General features: G+C 36.3%; 1 pseudogene across 1 annotated transcript in view; it reads right to left on the reverse strand.

Annotated features, from left to right (window-relative positions):
* The window catches only part of OVOS2P (ovostatin 2, pseudogene), an 89,584-nt pseudogene that overhangs the window by 12,996 nt on the left and 60,176 nt on the right, over positions 1–16,412 (reverse strand). The window contains exons 23-36 of the transcript NR_153414.1: positions 14,426–14,596; positions 13,474–13,618; positions 11,974–12,079; positions 11,307–11,535; positions 10,933–11,062; positions 9,232–9,350; positions 8,470–8,521; positions 7,598–7,681; positions 6,704–6,877; positions 5,861–5,942; positions 5,072–5,228; positions 3,004–3,078; positions 1,700–1,865; positions 724–935 (exon numbers count right to left, since the gene is read on the reverse strand). The product of NR_153414.1 is annotated as an ovostatin 2, pseudogene (transcript). The remainder of the gene's footprint in view (positions 1–723; positions 936–1,699; positions 1,866–3,003; positions 3,079–5,071; positions 5,229–5,860; positions 5,943–6,703; positions 6,878–7,597; positions 7,682–8,469; positions 8,522–9,231; positions 9,351–10,932; positions 11,063–11,306; positions 11,536–11,973; positions 12,080–13,473; positions 13,619–14,425; positions 14,597–16,412) is intronic.

Here is a 16,412-nt window from a genome sequence, read left to right on the forward strand (position 1 = left end):
AAGTTAAGGCATTACATAATTCAGTGGCCCCTGTGGCTGCCATGGATAATTCTTTTTTTTCTGTTCATCTTCAAAGAAGGGAATTCAGAATCAGGAAAAGATCTTTGGAAATTCATTAGCATATGGTTTTACTCCGAAACTAAGACCAAACACAAAGAGAAATGCAGATTTTTCTCATGGAAATAAAACTGCTTTTTTGCATTTTCAATTTGTTTCCAAGTAAGGAAAAACATGTCATTGTTTCTCATACCCCCCATTTCTCCTGTTTTCCTTCTTTTCATTTGCTTTTCCCAGTGTATAGCCCACAGAACTAGAGCGAAAGCTTTCTTTTTGGCCCGTATATAATTTGAACAGAGTATCATCAGGTGTCTAATGTACCACCAAGAGTGGTGCTTACGACAAAAATGTCCTCTAGACTTATTCTATGTTCGCTGTGTGAATGAAGATACTAATGGTCATAAATTCCTGGAACGGGAGACCTCATTTCATTCATTTCTATTTAGAGGCTTCCTAGTAGAGTGCCTCATACACAATAACTGGCCAATAAATAATTGTTGAGGAAATAAAATAAGATTAATAAGATAATAAGAATCTTATTACCAAAGATTCTTCTTCTCAGAAAGGGTTTGTTGTGATAGCTTTACTATTAATATCTCACTCGTCATAGAGTTACAGCTTCTGCATTAAACATATTGCTATTAATATCAGGCCTACATTAATCACCTGGTTGGAAGAAAAGCCTCCATGGGAATTCATCTGTTGGGCAAGCCACTGCACAATCTTACTAGCATAGGTGAGGTCAGGAATTTTCCGGGAAATGACAGCCAACAGCACATAGCAACTCTTCTCAGTCTGAGCAGAAGGTGCCCAGGGAATAAAGGATGGAAATTCTTCTGTCTTGGGTTTCCTTTCTCTTTCCCAGTAGATGACATTATCTGAGAAAAAGGAAGAATTTTCACATAGTCTGCATAAAAGTCATGGGTTACACATAAAGAAGGATGAAAATTCCATTCCCGACCTCTGTTTGTGCTGAATTGTTCCCCTAAAATTATATGTTGAAGCCCTAACACCAAGTACCTCAAAATGTGGCTGTATTTGGAGATAAGACTTTTTAAAGAGGTGATTAAGTTAAAATGAAGCTTATGGGCCACAATCCAATCTGACTGGTGACCTTATGAGAAGAAAAATTTTGGACACACAAAAGGGAGAGCAGGGCTGTGCACACACAAAAGATCTTGTGAAGACAAAGGAAGAATGTGGTCATCTGCAGGTGAAGAAACCACTTTCAACACCTTGAACTTAGACTTCTAGCCTCCAGAAGCATGAGAAAATAAACTTCTATTGCTGCAGTCATCCAGTATGTGGTATTTTATGACAGCTATAGCAAACTACTACAGCCTTCAATAGCAACTTTCTAAGTAGCAGGTGATTAAGCTTCCCCAGCAGTTTTGATAGCCTATGGCTTGGTCACCAGGCTTGATTCCCCTGACATCACTCATTTGAGAGGAAGCTAGCATAAAGCAAAAGAGGAAAGTCTAGAATATGTAGCGTTCTTGAAAGGTATAAAGGCCACTGATAAATTCCATAAGAGAAACAGAAACATACTGGTCAAGAGGGAGCTCCTATGTGACTGCTTAGAACGCTTCCTCACTGTGCTCCAAGATCACCTCCATTAGCAACAATGAATAATAACGCTTACTTAGTTTTGTGGCAGATTGATCCAGGGTTTGGAGTAAAGATTCCACTTGCTTCTCTTTTCCAGCTAAGGCAAAAGCATAAGCTAGAATTGCATGATTGTAGCCATTAGTGACACCACTGTCCAATGCCGCTTCAAGGCAAAAGAGTGCGTTTCGTAGAGCAGGAAACTGTTGGTCAGGAAGAAGAATCATATATTGTAAACTGATACCCGAACATTCCATGAACTTGTTGAACATTTAAACTAATCATTGTTTATAATATATATAATATATCCTCAAAGTATATTTTACATACAAATCCATTTATATACACACATATATTTTATCCTTCAAAAATATCATTAAAATAAATTTATAATGTCATTATTAGTACCTAAGCAATAATTTTTTTTGAGATAGGGTCTCGCTCTGTTACCCAGGCTGGAGTGCAGTGGCATGATCTCAGCTCACTGCAACCTCCACCTCCCAGGTTCAAGCGATTCTCCTGCCTCCATCTTCCGAGTAGCTGGGATCACAGGCATGCACCACCAAGCCCAGCTAATTTTTGTATTTTTAGTAGAGATAGGGTTTCACCATGTTGGCCAGGCTGGTCTTGAACTCCTGACCTCAGGTAATCCACCCACCTCAGCCTCCCAAAGTGCTTGGATTATAAGCATGAACCACCATGCCCGGCCCAATGAAATTTAGTAAGAAAATGGCAGTTTTTATATTTGATCAGTGATATTTTAGTTATGAATGTCTTCTATGCGGCAAAGCATCCAAATTTATCATAGGCCTAAGAGTTTTTTTTTTCTAATGCCTAAAATAGAGGCTTACATTTCTGAAGATAATTTTCAGGGTATACTAATGACCCTGACAATTCCTAGCATCTTAGTTCAGGAATAGATTTTGGAAATCTAATCTATGGATTGGGAGGTGGCTAGGGTGAGCCACACTTAAGTTGAAAATGTTTACTCACTTATTGTTTAGAGAGAAACAGAATACTAGGCCACGGCTTTACTTAGAACAGTGGTTCTTAATCTGAAATTCATGGCTGAACTTCAGGAGAGATGTGAATGCCTGCAATTGTGTGAATAACTCTTTTTTGTGTGCATATGTGTATTCTCCCTAGGGAGAAACCCAATCCTGTTTTTCAAAGCTGTCTATGAATGAAAAACAGTTTGAACAGCATGAATTTAAAGGGTGGTAATAAACTAAATGTTATCTCGGGGTTTCATCCAGTCTTAGAATCTCAAGTGACTCTGACTCTACAGTCTATTGAATGTGCATTCAGCTGCCTGAAATCAGAAATGACGGGAATCCATACAGTGGAATTGAGCCCAGCTTCAAAGAACATCCCAACAACATATGCAGTGAGTGAAATGTCCTCTTCATCTCCACCCTGAAAACAAAGGAACAATGAGTCATTCGGGACAGCAGAGCACAAAATAGCAAGTATTCTTTTGAAGTAAAACTAGGTATGAAAAAAATACTGGAACAAATACCATTATTCATAAAAACACCCGAACATGTGTAGTTTTTAAATTAGATGGTTAATAACCATACTATCTAAGCAAGAATTCATTCAGACTCTATGCAATAATTAAATCATAATTATTAAGTTGTTATAACAATTAATTTCAATCATATTTATGTGGCCTGGTGTTAAGCATGCATTCTAAGGAATTCACAGGACTCTATTTGTCTCCGCTTGGTATAAATCTGAAAAAAGCCAACAAAGAATTTCTAATGAGGTGAAGCAGAAAGTTGCCGTGAAGATTCCTGGAAATTCCTGGAAAAGCACCCTAGGAGATCACCAGAATCAAGTCTCAGATTCTTAGAGTGTAAAATGAGAAACTCATTTATAAATCATGTGGTTTGCAAACTGACTGTGCATAAAACTCCCCTGGGGTATTTAAATCAACCAGTGTCTACACAGAGATTCTGGTTCAAAAAACTTGGGAATACGACAGCAAAATGCATTTTAATGGGTGCTCTAGTGACTCTGATGCAAATAGCATTCAGAATGGCATCTGGGATCTACTGATCTTGTAGAAGCTTCCCATTTTATCTATTTAAGCAAAGGACAACTCCTGTCTTCTTCAGAAAAGAAATACTTCTGAGAAACCAAGTGTTTAAGATGGAAATAACAGCATATGGTAGACACTAACATGAGGTACGAGGACTGTCAGTACATCTAAATTACAGCAAGTGGGATCACCATTCCTCAGCAGTGTAAGCTTTGATTTTTCCCTTGCATTTTTATTTCTCTCAACTCAAAACACACACAGACACCCACCCACACAGATATTTAATTATAGAGAAAATACTAGGTAAGATCAGACAAACTGTAGCAGTAATCAGCAATGATTCACCAGTAATGAATCCAATAAGAAGAAAGATGTGAAGATGTTTTAGAAGAGAACGTGGGAAAGTTTTTGATTTTTCTATGAAGGAGTAAGAGCTCTTCTCCATCAGGGTCCTCCTGTTGTAAGGAATAAGTTTGGAATACATTAAAAATACCACAAAGCAATTTGAATACAATTTGCATGCAAATTAAATATCAGAGTGTCTGTTTTCATTCATATTTTGAGGTGGATTAGATATGCATTCTGGGTTTCAAGAACAGGAGTGCTGATTATGAGGAAGGATGCTGAAGAAAAGCTCAGGGTATTTCAGGGGCCATCAGAGCATGCTAAAATGCCATGATAGGAGATTTTGAGCAACCACAGGGGAAAAAAGGAGGGGAAAGGAGATAGAAGATGGGCTGGAGATGGACAGGTATCTGCAAAGAAAGGAAGTTGGAAGGGAGGGATTTACGTAAATATGGACAGGAAAAGGGTTGGATTTTGCCAAGGATATACTTCACCTCATTTGTACTTTGGCCCCGGGGCAAGCTTGGCCTTTGAATTTTTCCTTGAGAGGGTCTTAGAAAAACTTGCTTCATTGAAACAATATGAATTACTAGATATTCTCCCCAGAACTTTCTTGCCATTCATGGACAGGAATAAACTTTCCTTCCTCATACACTCACAGCCCCCTCCCTTTATACATTGACTGTCTCCAAATTTATGAAAGTTTCTTTTCTAGGTTCCCTTTCTCTCCCCTCCCTTCTATTTCTAGTTTAATTTCTGAAGAGGACTGACTCGGGAAGGACTAGAGACTGAATAAGGCAGACAAGAGACTCAGAAGGAGTCACATCCAGGCTGTAGTTAAACATGCACAAAGCAGGAATGGTGCTGCTGACCAACCCACCACAGGCCCAGGACTGCAGTGCCTCAGAAGGTTTCATAGGCACAGGAAGAATATTCATATTCCAGATCAGGAAAGCCAGAGGCAGGGCAAGGCAGGCAATGCCCAGGAACAAGGAAAGCCTGGTGCTTCTCCTCTCTCACCTCCCAGGCGTGGTTGAAAAGCTGGCCATCATTCTTAAAGCAGCCGCTTGTTTTCTGTTGGCTTGAAAGCCAGATTAAGGTCTGTTTTTGAACATTTTCATCAATGAATACAAATTTTTTCATTCTCTCCAATGTCTTAAAAGTAAGAGCACTGAGCCTGTAATACAAATCACCAAAGCAAAAGTTAGATAAAGAGGAAGTGACAATGTCAGCAATTCCACAGTTTCATCACCATTGTTCCCTTTGAGTAAAGGATGCATTCAACTCATCTACTGTAAACCATCTTTATTGTTAGTGGCCCTTTCCTTTGGGTCAGGAAAATATTATGACTAGCAATAAGTGGAAATTAGAGTAGGTAATTTTCAGCATGTTTGCACCCAAAGGTCCTGTTGTATATAGCCCATTAGATTATCTGCACATGGAGAGAGAAATGATGTAATTAGGTATTTTGGGTCCTTCTAATTTCACTTTCCCGAATCTATATGGGACTCTGAGAAGCACAGAGTAAGACGTGCCGTGCCCTCTTCGGTGGAGTTAACCAGCGGTGCATGTCTAGGGGCTGTCATGAAAGGATCAGACTGCTAAGCAAATCGTCATGAGACTGAAGGAACATTGTTGCATTAGAATTGGAATCACTAAATCTTTAGTTTTATCTATTTCTCTTCTGTAAATTGACTTTGAAACCCACTTTGCTTCTAAATCCCCACTGAACTCTATCCTCCTTCACCTCCTTGCAAGCCCTCCTCAGGTAATTCCTATATTATATAAAATAAAATTTTTATGTCTCACCATATGCTTCCTTTCTGATTCTGCTGCCAAAACACACTATAGGAACCATCAGAGTTTTTGAAAGATAATTGCCTTTGATAACCTAAAATAGAACATTGTAGGAAATTATTTTTTAACCTAAGAAAGTTAGAAGAGAAAGAATAGTGCAGTGCAAGCCCTAGGTATTGGTGTTAGACACAAATCACTAGGATGATCATTTCCATTTGAACTTCTGAAACTCAGGTTCTGTATTCATAAGGGAGAAAAAATAACTCTTACTTTATAGGATTTTGATCACAAGATAATACACATGGATATGTCTGGCTCAGTAATTGCCTCGTCATTGGTACCTACTAACTATTCAGTATATTTCCCCTAAGGTCATTTTATTTCAGTGTTATCTTTCTGAGAAGAAAAACCAAAGAAGATTATTTTATGCTCCTGGACTTTTCCTTAACCTCACAGTTCACAACATTGGCCCTCTTTGTGTATACAAAGCCAATCACTTCACTGCAACAGACCACAGCTGAGCAAACAAATACAGACGTTGATAGATGAACCACTGACAACAACTCCTAACAAAAACAACAATAATAACAACAATAAACAAGGTAGCTTGCAAAATACCAGACATTAAAAAAAAATTAAGTGCATAGCTTGAAAACTTTGCAGCTGTAAATTATGACGCTAGCTGACCACACAGATTTTGAAGTCAGACGGAAAACAGCGCTAGGACTGAGAGTTCCTCGGTTCAGGTTCACTTTTCTTTCACCAGACTACTGCATAAAAACAGCTTATGACATCTTGGTATGAGTAACAATTGCTTTCAAAAATTATGGGCAGAAATTACTTAAATCTTCTCACCATTAGATAAGAGAAAGAAAGCCTTAGATTGAACTTCCTCTGTCAGTTGCTCAGTAGATTTCAGATAGTCCAGAACATAAGTATCAGATGCTAGTAGGGCAGCATTCTGCTCTCCACCTCCATAGGGCATTTGGAGAACAACCAGATTCTGCATGGCAAGTCCTAGAATATCCCCTAAAAACAGGAAAAGCGGAAAGCTGTATTGTTTATAGTTGCCATCTCAGCATTAATAACTATAGACAAAAGAGGCATAGTGAAATAGGTAACATTTAAAATTGAGTCTAAATGGTGGAAACAAAGAAAGTTTTATGAAGCAATTTGAAAGAGGAGACAGCCATGAAGGGTGAAGTTAAACTGCTATGAAAAATATTTCTGAAAATCTCATTACCAGAGAGAGGAGGAAGTTAGGAGAATGCATTTGTTTGCTTGTTTGCTAGTTTTTTTTAATCAATCAATCCTATGAATTACAAAGTGTAATCCATCCCTTCCAAGAGATGTTCATGTTAATAACAGACAAAGAAGTTTGCCTTTTGTATCAACAACAAAAATTTCTCCTTTTATTGAGAAAACTCCCAACATCATTAACAGGCAAAGTCAATTCGATTCTCCAAGAGGTGAATTTCATATTTCAGATTAATGATTATAAAGAACCTCTTGCTTTCTGAACACTAGTTACCATCTACCCAAGCTAAGGTTTCCTGGGAATATAGGTCTGGAAACGGTACTGTAATCCCTTTAGATCCCATCAGGAAACATAGAGGATGATCTGATCAATAATTCCCTCCAATTGATAGCTTAGGAAAATCTCTCTATTCTATTATTTTAAGGATTTTTAAAGACCACCTCAACCAAGATTTTCAAATCATAGTGAAACACAAAATTTGATCAACTTACCCACAACAGTGAAAAAGCCTCTGGCTGACCCTTCTACTACATCATTTGGCAAGTCCAAAACTCCCTGCTTGGAGGCTTTGGCACCTAGAATGAAAATACTGATTTAAAAAATGTGATGGCTTCTTTATATCAGCAGATTTGGGGGATAAACATATTGGAAATAAGATTCCATTACTTATTTTTATTTTACAAGTTGTTTATTAGAGGAGATGAATTTGGAGTTTTGACCCAGTTTAGGATAATAGTACATTCAGAAAATGGCATATAAATCTGTGTGTTAGATTGTGGCCCCCGTTCTTCACTGGTTTAGTGCCTGAACTATTTATGTATGAAAAAATGTAAAAACTACACTGACTGTAACACATAAAACAACACACACAAAAGGTAAAGCTTGAAGACTCAGATGAAGGAGTATAATCAGATCACCATCAACCAGGTAAAATAATACCCCTCATGGCCATAAAACCGGAGACTGAGGTGCAGGGGCAGTGATGTATCTATGGGTTATTTTCTCCTAAGAGTACAAAAGCCAAGATTATATTATGTGCTATTGGGCCTCAATCCTAATATCTCATTGTCCAATATTGTGTGACAACCATATCATAAGAGGAGCTAAGAGTACACATGATGGAAAAAAAAATAGATAGGAGCAGACCAGCCTCAGAAAGTGAACTAAAAACCACCTCCTGAATATTCTTTTTGATGGCTAAAATTATACCATAAAGATAAAGCATGAAACACAAGAATCCTCCACGAGTTATTTAAAGTGAAATCACAGGGCACATGGACTCATGTGGAAGGAGAGGACATGAACTGATTCTTTTGGTGAATTTTATTTAGGACTAATTTGACTCCCTAAAAGATCCTCTTACCTTCTGTACAGATAAGGAAACTCTGGGTCCTTTCCTTTTCAATACCTTCAGGCTGTCAAAGAATAACACAAACAAGCACAGAAGAATGAGTCTAGATCCTCTGTCCATGAAGGAAAAGTGATTAAGCACCAGCTCACTTAAGCATGGCTGGTGCAAGTTTATCCCTGAGAGAAGATCCAACTCATCTTCCCCTTTTGTTCATATCTGGAAGGCACGGGACATCACCGGTACCCATTTTAGCCTCTGCGTTCTGTAGCTTGGACAGGCATTATCTTGATGTCACTGTGGGACACTCTCAGCTCCTCTGATCCTGTATAGCATCTCCAGTAAACAACTAAAAGTGCTTTGTGGAGCAGGGATTGCCAAGAGGCAAATCAAGAGTGTTCCTCTGACAAGTGCTGATTCTTGTTGAGGATGACGGGAACTGCATGGGAGTGTAGGACAAGTAGATTTGTCTCTTGAATTTGAGAATCAGAAAAAGAGAAGGAAGAGAAATAGGTGTACAGGAAACATCTTGACTCAGAAACAAACAAAAAATTGTCAAGTCTATTTCAAATGTTAAGTTTTACTATCCTGGGTGAGGTATTAATTAAAGAAAGGATGAACTTTATGCTGTTTTAATTCATTTAAAATGGCATGTCTTGTGTCAAAAGTAAATGTTGTCAACTAATTAAGTCTCTTCAATGAGAAGATCTTTTAATACAAAACCTCTTAGATGTCTGTTTCTTTTCAGGAAAAGCTTGACTGTTTGCATATCCATACCTCTACTAAGAAGCTTTTGACCACAGTGTCTTTCCAGTTTAGCTTTTGCTGCTCCATTCCTTCATTTGGGCAAGCACTGCTTTGTTTGGACTCAGCAACTACAGTGATATTCACTTTACCTGGAAGACATTCCCAAATATAAATTAAATTGATCATTGGTCCCTTCTGTAATGAGAAATGACTAGAGTCTGTGAACCATGTCTTGAATTGGATTAACCAAATTCTATCATTAAGTTAATGCTTAGAACAAAATAACTTATTTCTTCTCCTTCCTAGGTATAATGTGGTATCTTCCATTTCACCTGTTCCATGATTTTCATGATTCCTTACATTAAATGATAAATTTACTTAATTAAAACTTAAGAAATTTTAGGAAAAGTAACATTTTACAAAGTTGTCTGAGTCAATTTCCTGATATTGATTGTTTATAAAGGTTACTTATGACAATATAGGCTAATAATGTCAGCGAACTAGGGCTCCTAACTTCCCAAAATCAAGCAAGCATAGTAAAATATGATATAGTAGATAGGCACTGGATTGAAATAATGTCCTAGCAAGGAATCCATTGTTTTTAAACTTCCTGATTTCACATTATGTAATTAGAACTGATCTCCAGTTTCCTTGCTTGTGAAAATTACAGGATTGAAAACAATCATTCATTCTTTAAGGTTATTATTATTTACGTGACTATATACCAATATACATAACCAATATATTGTTCTCTTTGTTGTTGTTGTTGTTGTTGTTGTGTTTTAGTGTTTCTCTGTCTCAGGAAGCTTGCTATTTCACTCTTAAAACTGTGTCTTCGACTTAATGTCATAAAACTATACAAGTTGGTACAGTATTCTGTCTCAATTGCCAAGGTAGGATTTTGAAGATCTTGTGCAGTAGAAATATTGAGAAACTTCAAATCTAATAGAAAAATAGTCTGAGAACAGCATCACAACTGAGCTAAAATAATCTCATAGATATATTATTTGCTGTTAAAATAATACAATGAATATAGTACATTAAAGAACATTTGAATGGCCATTTTTTAAAAGTAGTGATTAAAAGTGTCACGCACATCGTATCTAGCATTCCTTGTTTACTAGAATTTTAAACTTTTTCCATTCCATGTATTTTCAATATTTCAATAGGAGACAAGTTTATTTTTCCATCTTGCAGATAGCATAGGCACTAAGACAATATTCTCAGTTTTTTATCTCAATCCAATCATTTAGTGATTTTGGTATCCCCATGGCACATCTAGTAAATTTACAAACCTGACAATTCCCTCATTGGTCATTGTGATGGAGCAGCAATTTTCTTGAAGGTGGCCTGGGTTCATGATGGTAGGTGAAGGACCCAGCGAGAAGTCAAATAATTAAGGTGGCATTAATGATAGCATGGCCTTCATTTGGGATATGGCATATGCCAAACATATAGTCCATGATAGGTCATGCCAGTTAGCATTTATATTGTATTTTAATTACATTATGCTCTTGTAAAAATGAATGGTGGTTTTGATCTACACAGCATTAACAACCAGAAATTAGATTACTATAGATTAGAATTTCTAATGGAGAATTTACAATAAGAATTTTAAAAATGTGAGGGAGAAAATCACGTTTGTATAGACAATATAAGGAAAGTAAATGGAGACAATAAATATGGGCTGGTTTTTCCATGAGTGACTGGTGTAGACAGATAGCTGCTTACCCAATTTCTTAGGTATAATAGTCCAGATGTTTGTTTTCCTCCCTCCAGCTTGAATAACCTCACTGCCATTGATTTTCCAGGTATTAATATTTGCTTCATAATTCTGAGACTCCTCCACTTGAACAGAAATCTAAGAAAACAATCATGGCAATGAGGATAGCACTGGAACACACATCACTATGAAACACCATGCTCAATACACTGTTTAAACTGTCACTGTGAATGAAAGCAATTGTATTTGTTTGAGGAATATGGACCTAAGTCTTATACCTTTATAGTAGCATTTTGCACTTGAGGATAAAGAGAATATGGAAATATTAAGAATATTTTAGCTTTGTTAGATTTTTGCCTCCAGATCAAACAGAACAACGCACCTCTACACATGTATTCAGGTAGCTGAAGGCATTGACAATCAAATCAAATTGTTCATTTTGAACAACCGAAAAGGGTGAGGCAATTTCAATAAAGAAAGGTTGGGAGACTTCTAGAGTGGTTGTAGAGGAAATGCCAAATCCAACGTCGCCATTCACACAAAAGCCACTTGCCTCCCATTGGGTTATCGTATCAGGAATGAGGAACGAAAGATTGGCAGAGCCTGAGGAACTGGAAGAAGAGGTTATCGGTAAAACACATTCTTTGTCTGAACCAAGAACTTAAAATTAAGTGCAGAGCAAGCAGAAAAGTATTGACTGAAGCTCAAAAGTGAGTTATATTGTTTGGATGGGGCATTAGATAAAAATAATGAGAGCTGGATTTTTATAAAATTTGAGTATAGAAAGGTCATTTTTCTTTAAACGCCACTTTTTTTTTTAATTGGGGCAGGTTAAATCTGTCTGCATAAAATGAATAGAAGAGAAACTCTTGGTGAAGGGAAAACAATGCTAGAGAAAAAAATAAAATAAAATGTATGATAAGTACATGCAAATCAATGATATATATTTTACAAATATGGTACTGTTTTATATACCCAGGAATAAACCTGAAGAAAGAAAAAGAAAATAGAAATAAAGACACATAGGAGAGAAAATGGTTAAAACTCACTCGACACTGACGAGGTCCCACATCCATGTCTCTGGGAAGTTTGTTCTTACTGTTTGAATTATAGCCTGTTCTACATAGTCAGCATTCTCCCCTCTGATTCCACTAGCTAAAAAAAAAAAGGAAGAAGTACCTTATTCAGACCTTGGACTCTGCAAATTATAGTCTATATATTATCAGGGTGTAAGGTCTCCATAAAACACCTCACTTTCCTGTATCACAGTCACTTACTATGACTGTTTTCCTGTATCACCATACATTGCCTGTTCCCCTACACAGTCAGGTACCACATAATGACACTGTGATCAATGACAGACCACTTAGACTACAGTGGTCCCATAAAGTTAGAATGGAGCTGAAAAATTCCTACCACTTATTGACATCAAAGCCATCATAACGTTGTAGTGCAATGCATTGGTCATGGGTTTGTGGTAATGCTGGTGTAAACAAACCTACTGCACTGCCAGTCCTATAAAAATATAGCAGACACAATTTTGTACAGTACATAATACTTGATAATGATGACTATGTTACCGGTTTTTGTGCTTACTATACTATACTGTTTACTGTTTAGAGTGTACTGTTCTTACTTATCAAAAAAATTAACTGCAAAACAGCTTCAGGCAGGTCCTTCAGGAGATGTTCCAGAAGAAGGCATTGCTATCATAGATGATGACAGCTCCATGCATGTTATTGCCCCAGAAGAACTTTCAGCGGTACAAGATGTGGAGGTAGAAGACAGTGATATTGATGATCCTGACCTTGTATAGGCCTAGATTAATGTGTGTGTTTGCATCTTCGTTTTAAACAAAAAAGTATAAAAGTTAAAGAAAATTTAAAAATAGGAAAAAGCTTATAGAATAAGAATGTAAACAAAGAAAATATATTTGTACCCTGACTCACTCAGAGTAACTTTTAACCTTGCAAGCTCCATTCATGGGAAGTGCTCTATATAAAAGTATAACTTTTTTTTATCTTGTATACCACATGTTCACTGTGCCTTTTCCATGTTTAGCAATGATTAGATACACAAATAGTTATCATCGTGGTACAACTGCCTACAGTATTCAGTATAGTCACATGCTGCGGAGGTTTGTAGCCTAGGAAAAATGGGCTGTACCACATAGCATAGGTGTGTTGCAGGCTACAGCATCTAGGTTTGCGTAAGTACACTCTATGATGTTCGCACAACAATATCACCTAACAATGCATTTTTCAGAACAAATTCTCCATCACTAAGTGAAGCATGACTGTATTTCTGACATTGTATTTTATCAATAAAAATAAACTACATCTCACATCTGAAGCTAATTTCTTGTTATAGCCAAAAGCATGTCTAGTCTGTCTTATTCTGCTTTATCCAACTATAGGATGTCTAATTGTAGCCAAAAACATGGCATAATTCACACATAAAATTCCAAAATTGCATCATTTATCCCAAATACACTAAATTCCACAAAGCGGTTTGGTCATCCCCCAACAAAAAAATGTAAGATTACCTACATGCAATTCTAGACGGAACACTATGCATTGGACCATAATTTTCTGTTTCTAGATAAAGCGGCTTAGGGAGTGGCAGCCTTCTCTCCATCACACATACTTCTGGTTTTCGGTAATGGAGATTGGTAAAGACTTTGAGACCCATGTTCTTTAAAGAAACAAACAACAAAAATATTGTTCATTCTTTTCATGCAAGAACTATAAAAGGCCTATTATTTATATTGCAAAGATAAATGGATCATAAGTATCCATATTTTCTGTGTTAACAAAGGTCTGAGAAGTTACAAGTCAACTTACCTCTATTTGACTTATGGAAAATCCCTAATTTAGAGAAAAAATTATAATCACTATGATTTATCTAGCACTTATTATGTGCTAGCATTTTTCTAAGTATTTTCCATTATTCTCCATTTCATCCTAAGTGGAAAATACTTATGAGATCAGCACTATCATTACCCTAATTAACATCAAACACACACACACACACACACACACACCCGGCACACTCAGTAAATTAAAGAACTGGAACCTGATAAAGTCTGTCTGATTCAATACCCCTTTTCTTACACACTTGTGATGTTAATTATAGAGATTATTTCATGGAAGGCTCAGCATGTCTCATTAATGGCCTAGGGATATCTGGAGTCCACACTCTCTTAGCCTCTTGATTTGACAATCTTTGCATAAGATTTATTGTATTAATTGGAGGCTGTCTTATTTTTTTAAGTGAGGTTTTGTAATTATAGCTACATGATTTATTTTCAGCAGAAAATTTTAAAATCAACAAAATTAATATCTCCTTTTTATAAGACAATTTCTATGTACTCTATTGGCAGATTACAGACACGAATCTCAAAGTATAGGAAGAAAACTACATAATTAAGAAAACATTAATATGCATTATGAATACTAAAAATTGTGATGAAATATTTTCCAAAATCCTTAGTGATCTTACCCTGACAATATTATAGATATCTCCATCCCCATAGTTGCTTACAGGTGTGTAATATAAACCATTGTAGAACATATCCCTCTGAGGAATGCAAGGGTCTTCCTTGCCATCATCAAGATTGAGGCCATGGTAGAAATAACCATACGGCTCTATACTTGGAACCATGTTATACACCTATGAGAAAAAACATTTCCCAATAATTTTAAGCACTTCTTTTAAAATTACAAAATTGGCAAATTGTCTACTGTACCATTTATTCTTGTTCTTTTCTTTAAGAGCACGGCCATCATATTTAATCCAGTATTTTCACATAAGCTCTTCCTTTCAAAAGAGCAAACCAGTTTTGTTTTAGGCAACTGATGTCATGTTCACAGAATTTCTCAGCTTGGGCGCAGGATTTAAGAGAGAATGTAAGAAAGCAATGCCTGACTATTGATTAATCCAAGGCCCATTGTACACACAGTCAATTATAATGCTAGAATTTCTAAGTCTGGAGAATAATCTTAGCTGCCTGATTTTAAATCTTCTTACATAATCTTCTGAAGAAAACATAAAATCAACAAAGAGAACAAGTAAGGATACTCATGACTAATATCTTTAACATTACTACAATACAGAGAATACCATGATCTTCAAATTATTTCTTAGTAGAGAAACAAACACCAAATGCCAAGAGAGCTTCTACTGCTATTGCAGAGGGAAGGCTTAAGAGACTGCAGAGAAAAAGAGAGCAGAATGGCATGGAGAAATGAGAAGAAACACACACCAAGTCAACTCCAGGTAAGAGAAAGTCTAGCATTGTTAAAAATACAAATCATAGTTTTCGGACTCAACAGTTCCCAGTACAGCACACAGGGAAAGGGCTTGGACTGAATGGGCCTGGAAGTGGAAGCTTCCAAAAAACATGGCTAAGGGGAAATAATCAGATCACAAGAAGAGGTATGCAGATCCTTGGAGACAGGGAATTTAAAAAAGGAAAGGATGTCATAGGATAAAATAACTCCCTCCACCCTCATTTCCATCACCAACATTTTAAAAATAATGCATTTTACTAAAAAAAAAAAAATAGAAAGGGCGCTCTTCACCTATGAACACCCTGCACAAAATATCAAGAACTAGAAAAAATCAACTCCATACAAAGCTTCTGTAAGAGAAAATAGGAAATGCAAACCAAAACACTTCAGCTAATGAAACTTCTCCACTAAAGTCACTAAGTAAATAAATAAGTAAACAAAGAAAAGCCATGCCAAAATAATTTAACATGAGTGAAATATTCTCAAGCATGTATTTGAGGTATTTAAAAGGCACCATGAGTCAGAAATTCTATTAAGAAAATACAGAAATGGACAAAACCCAAGAAGAAATAAAATGAGGCTTTATTGAACTCAGGAAAACTAGACAAAATTATATCATAAATAAACTCTAAAGTACAAGGACATCAAGAGAAAATTGTTCAGAGAAAACTTTAAAAGCAGCACAGAGGAAAAACAACAGAACAAAACTGAAAAAGAATGAATTAAAACAGGTCACAAAGTGATTGAATTGGAAAGCAGGCAAGGAAGATCCAACAAATGTACAGAGATTTTTTTAGAACAAAAAAAATGGAAAGACCAATATTTACAATTATAATTCAGGGGAACTATCTGAAAATAAAAGAAGATTTGAGTTTACATATTGCATGACTCCACTGTGTACCTGGCAAAACTTCTACAGAATAACATTCTTACTGAAACTGTTAGATTAAAGTATAAAGGGGAAAAAAACATTCAAGGCCTTCAGACATAGAGATAAAGTAGCCCATAATGGAAAATGAATTAAACTAATGTCAGCACTATTAAAAGGCATATTCAAAGCAAGTCAATAGTAAGGTAGCATTTCAAAAAATTTTAAAATGTATAAACCAAAGATTTAATATACAAATACCTGTCTTTCATTTATTAAGGCTTTAGAAAAAATAATTCTGAATATGAAAATGTCAGAGAATTCTATA

This window comes from Homo sapiens, chromosome 12, assembly GCF_000001405.40.
Source record: "Homo sapiens chromosome 12, GRCh38.p14 Primary Assembly".
Taxonomy (NCBI): domain Eukaryota; kingdom Metazoa; phylum Chordata; class Mammalia; order Primates; family Hominidae; genus Homo; species Homo sapiens.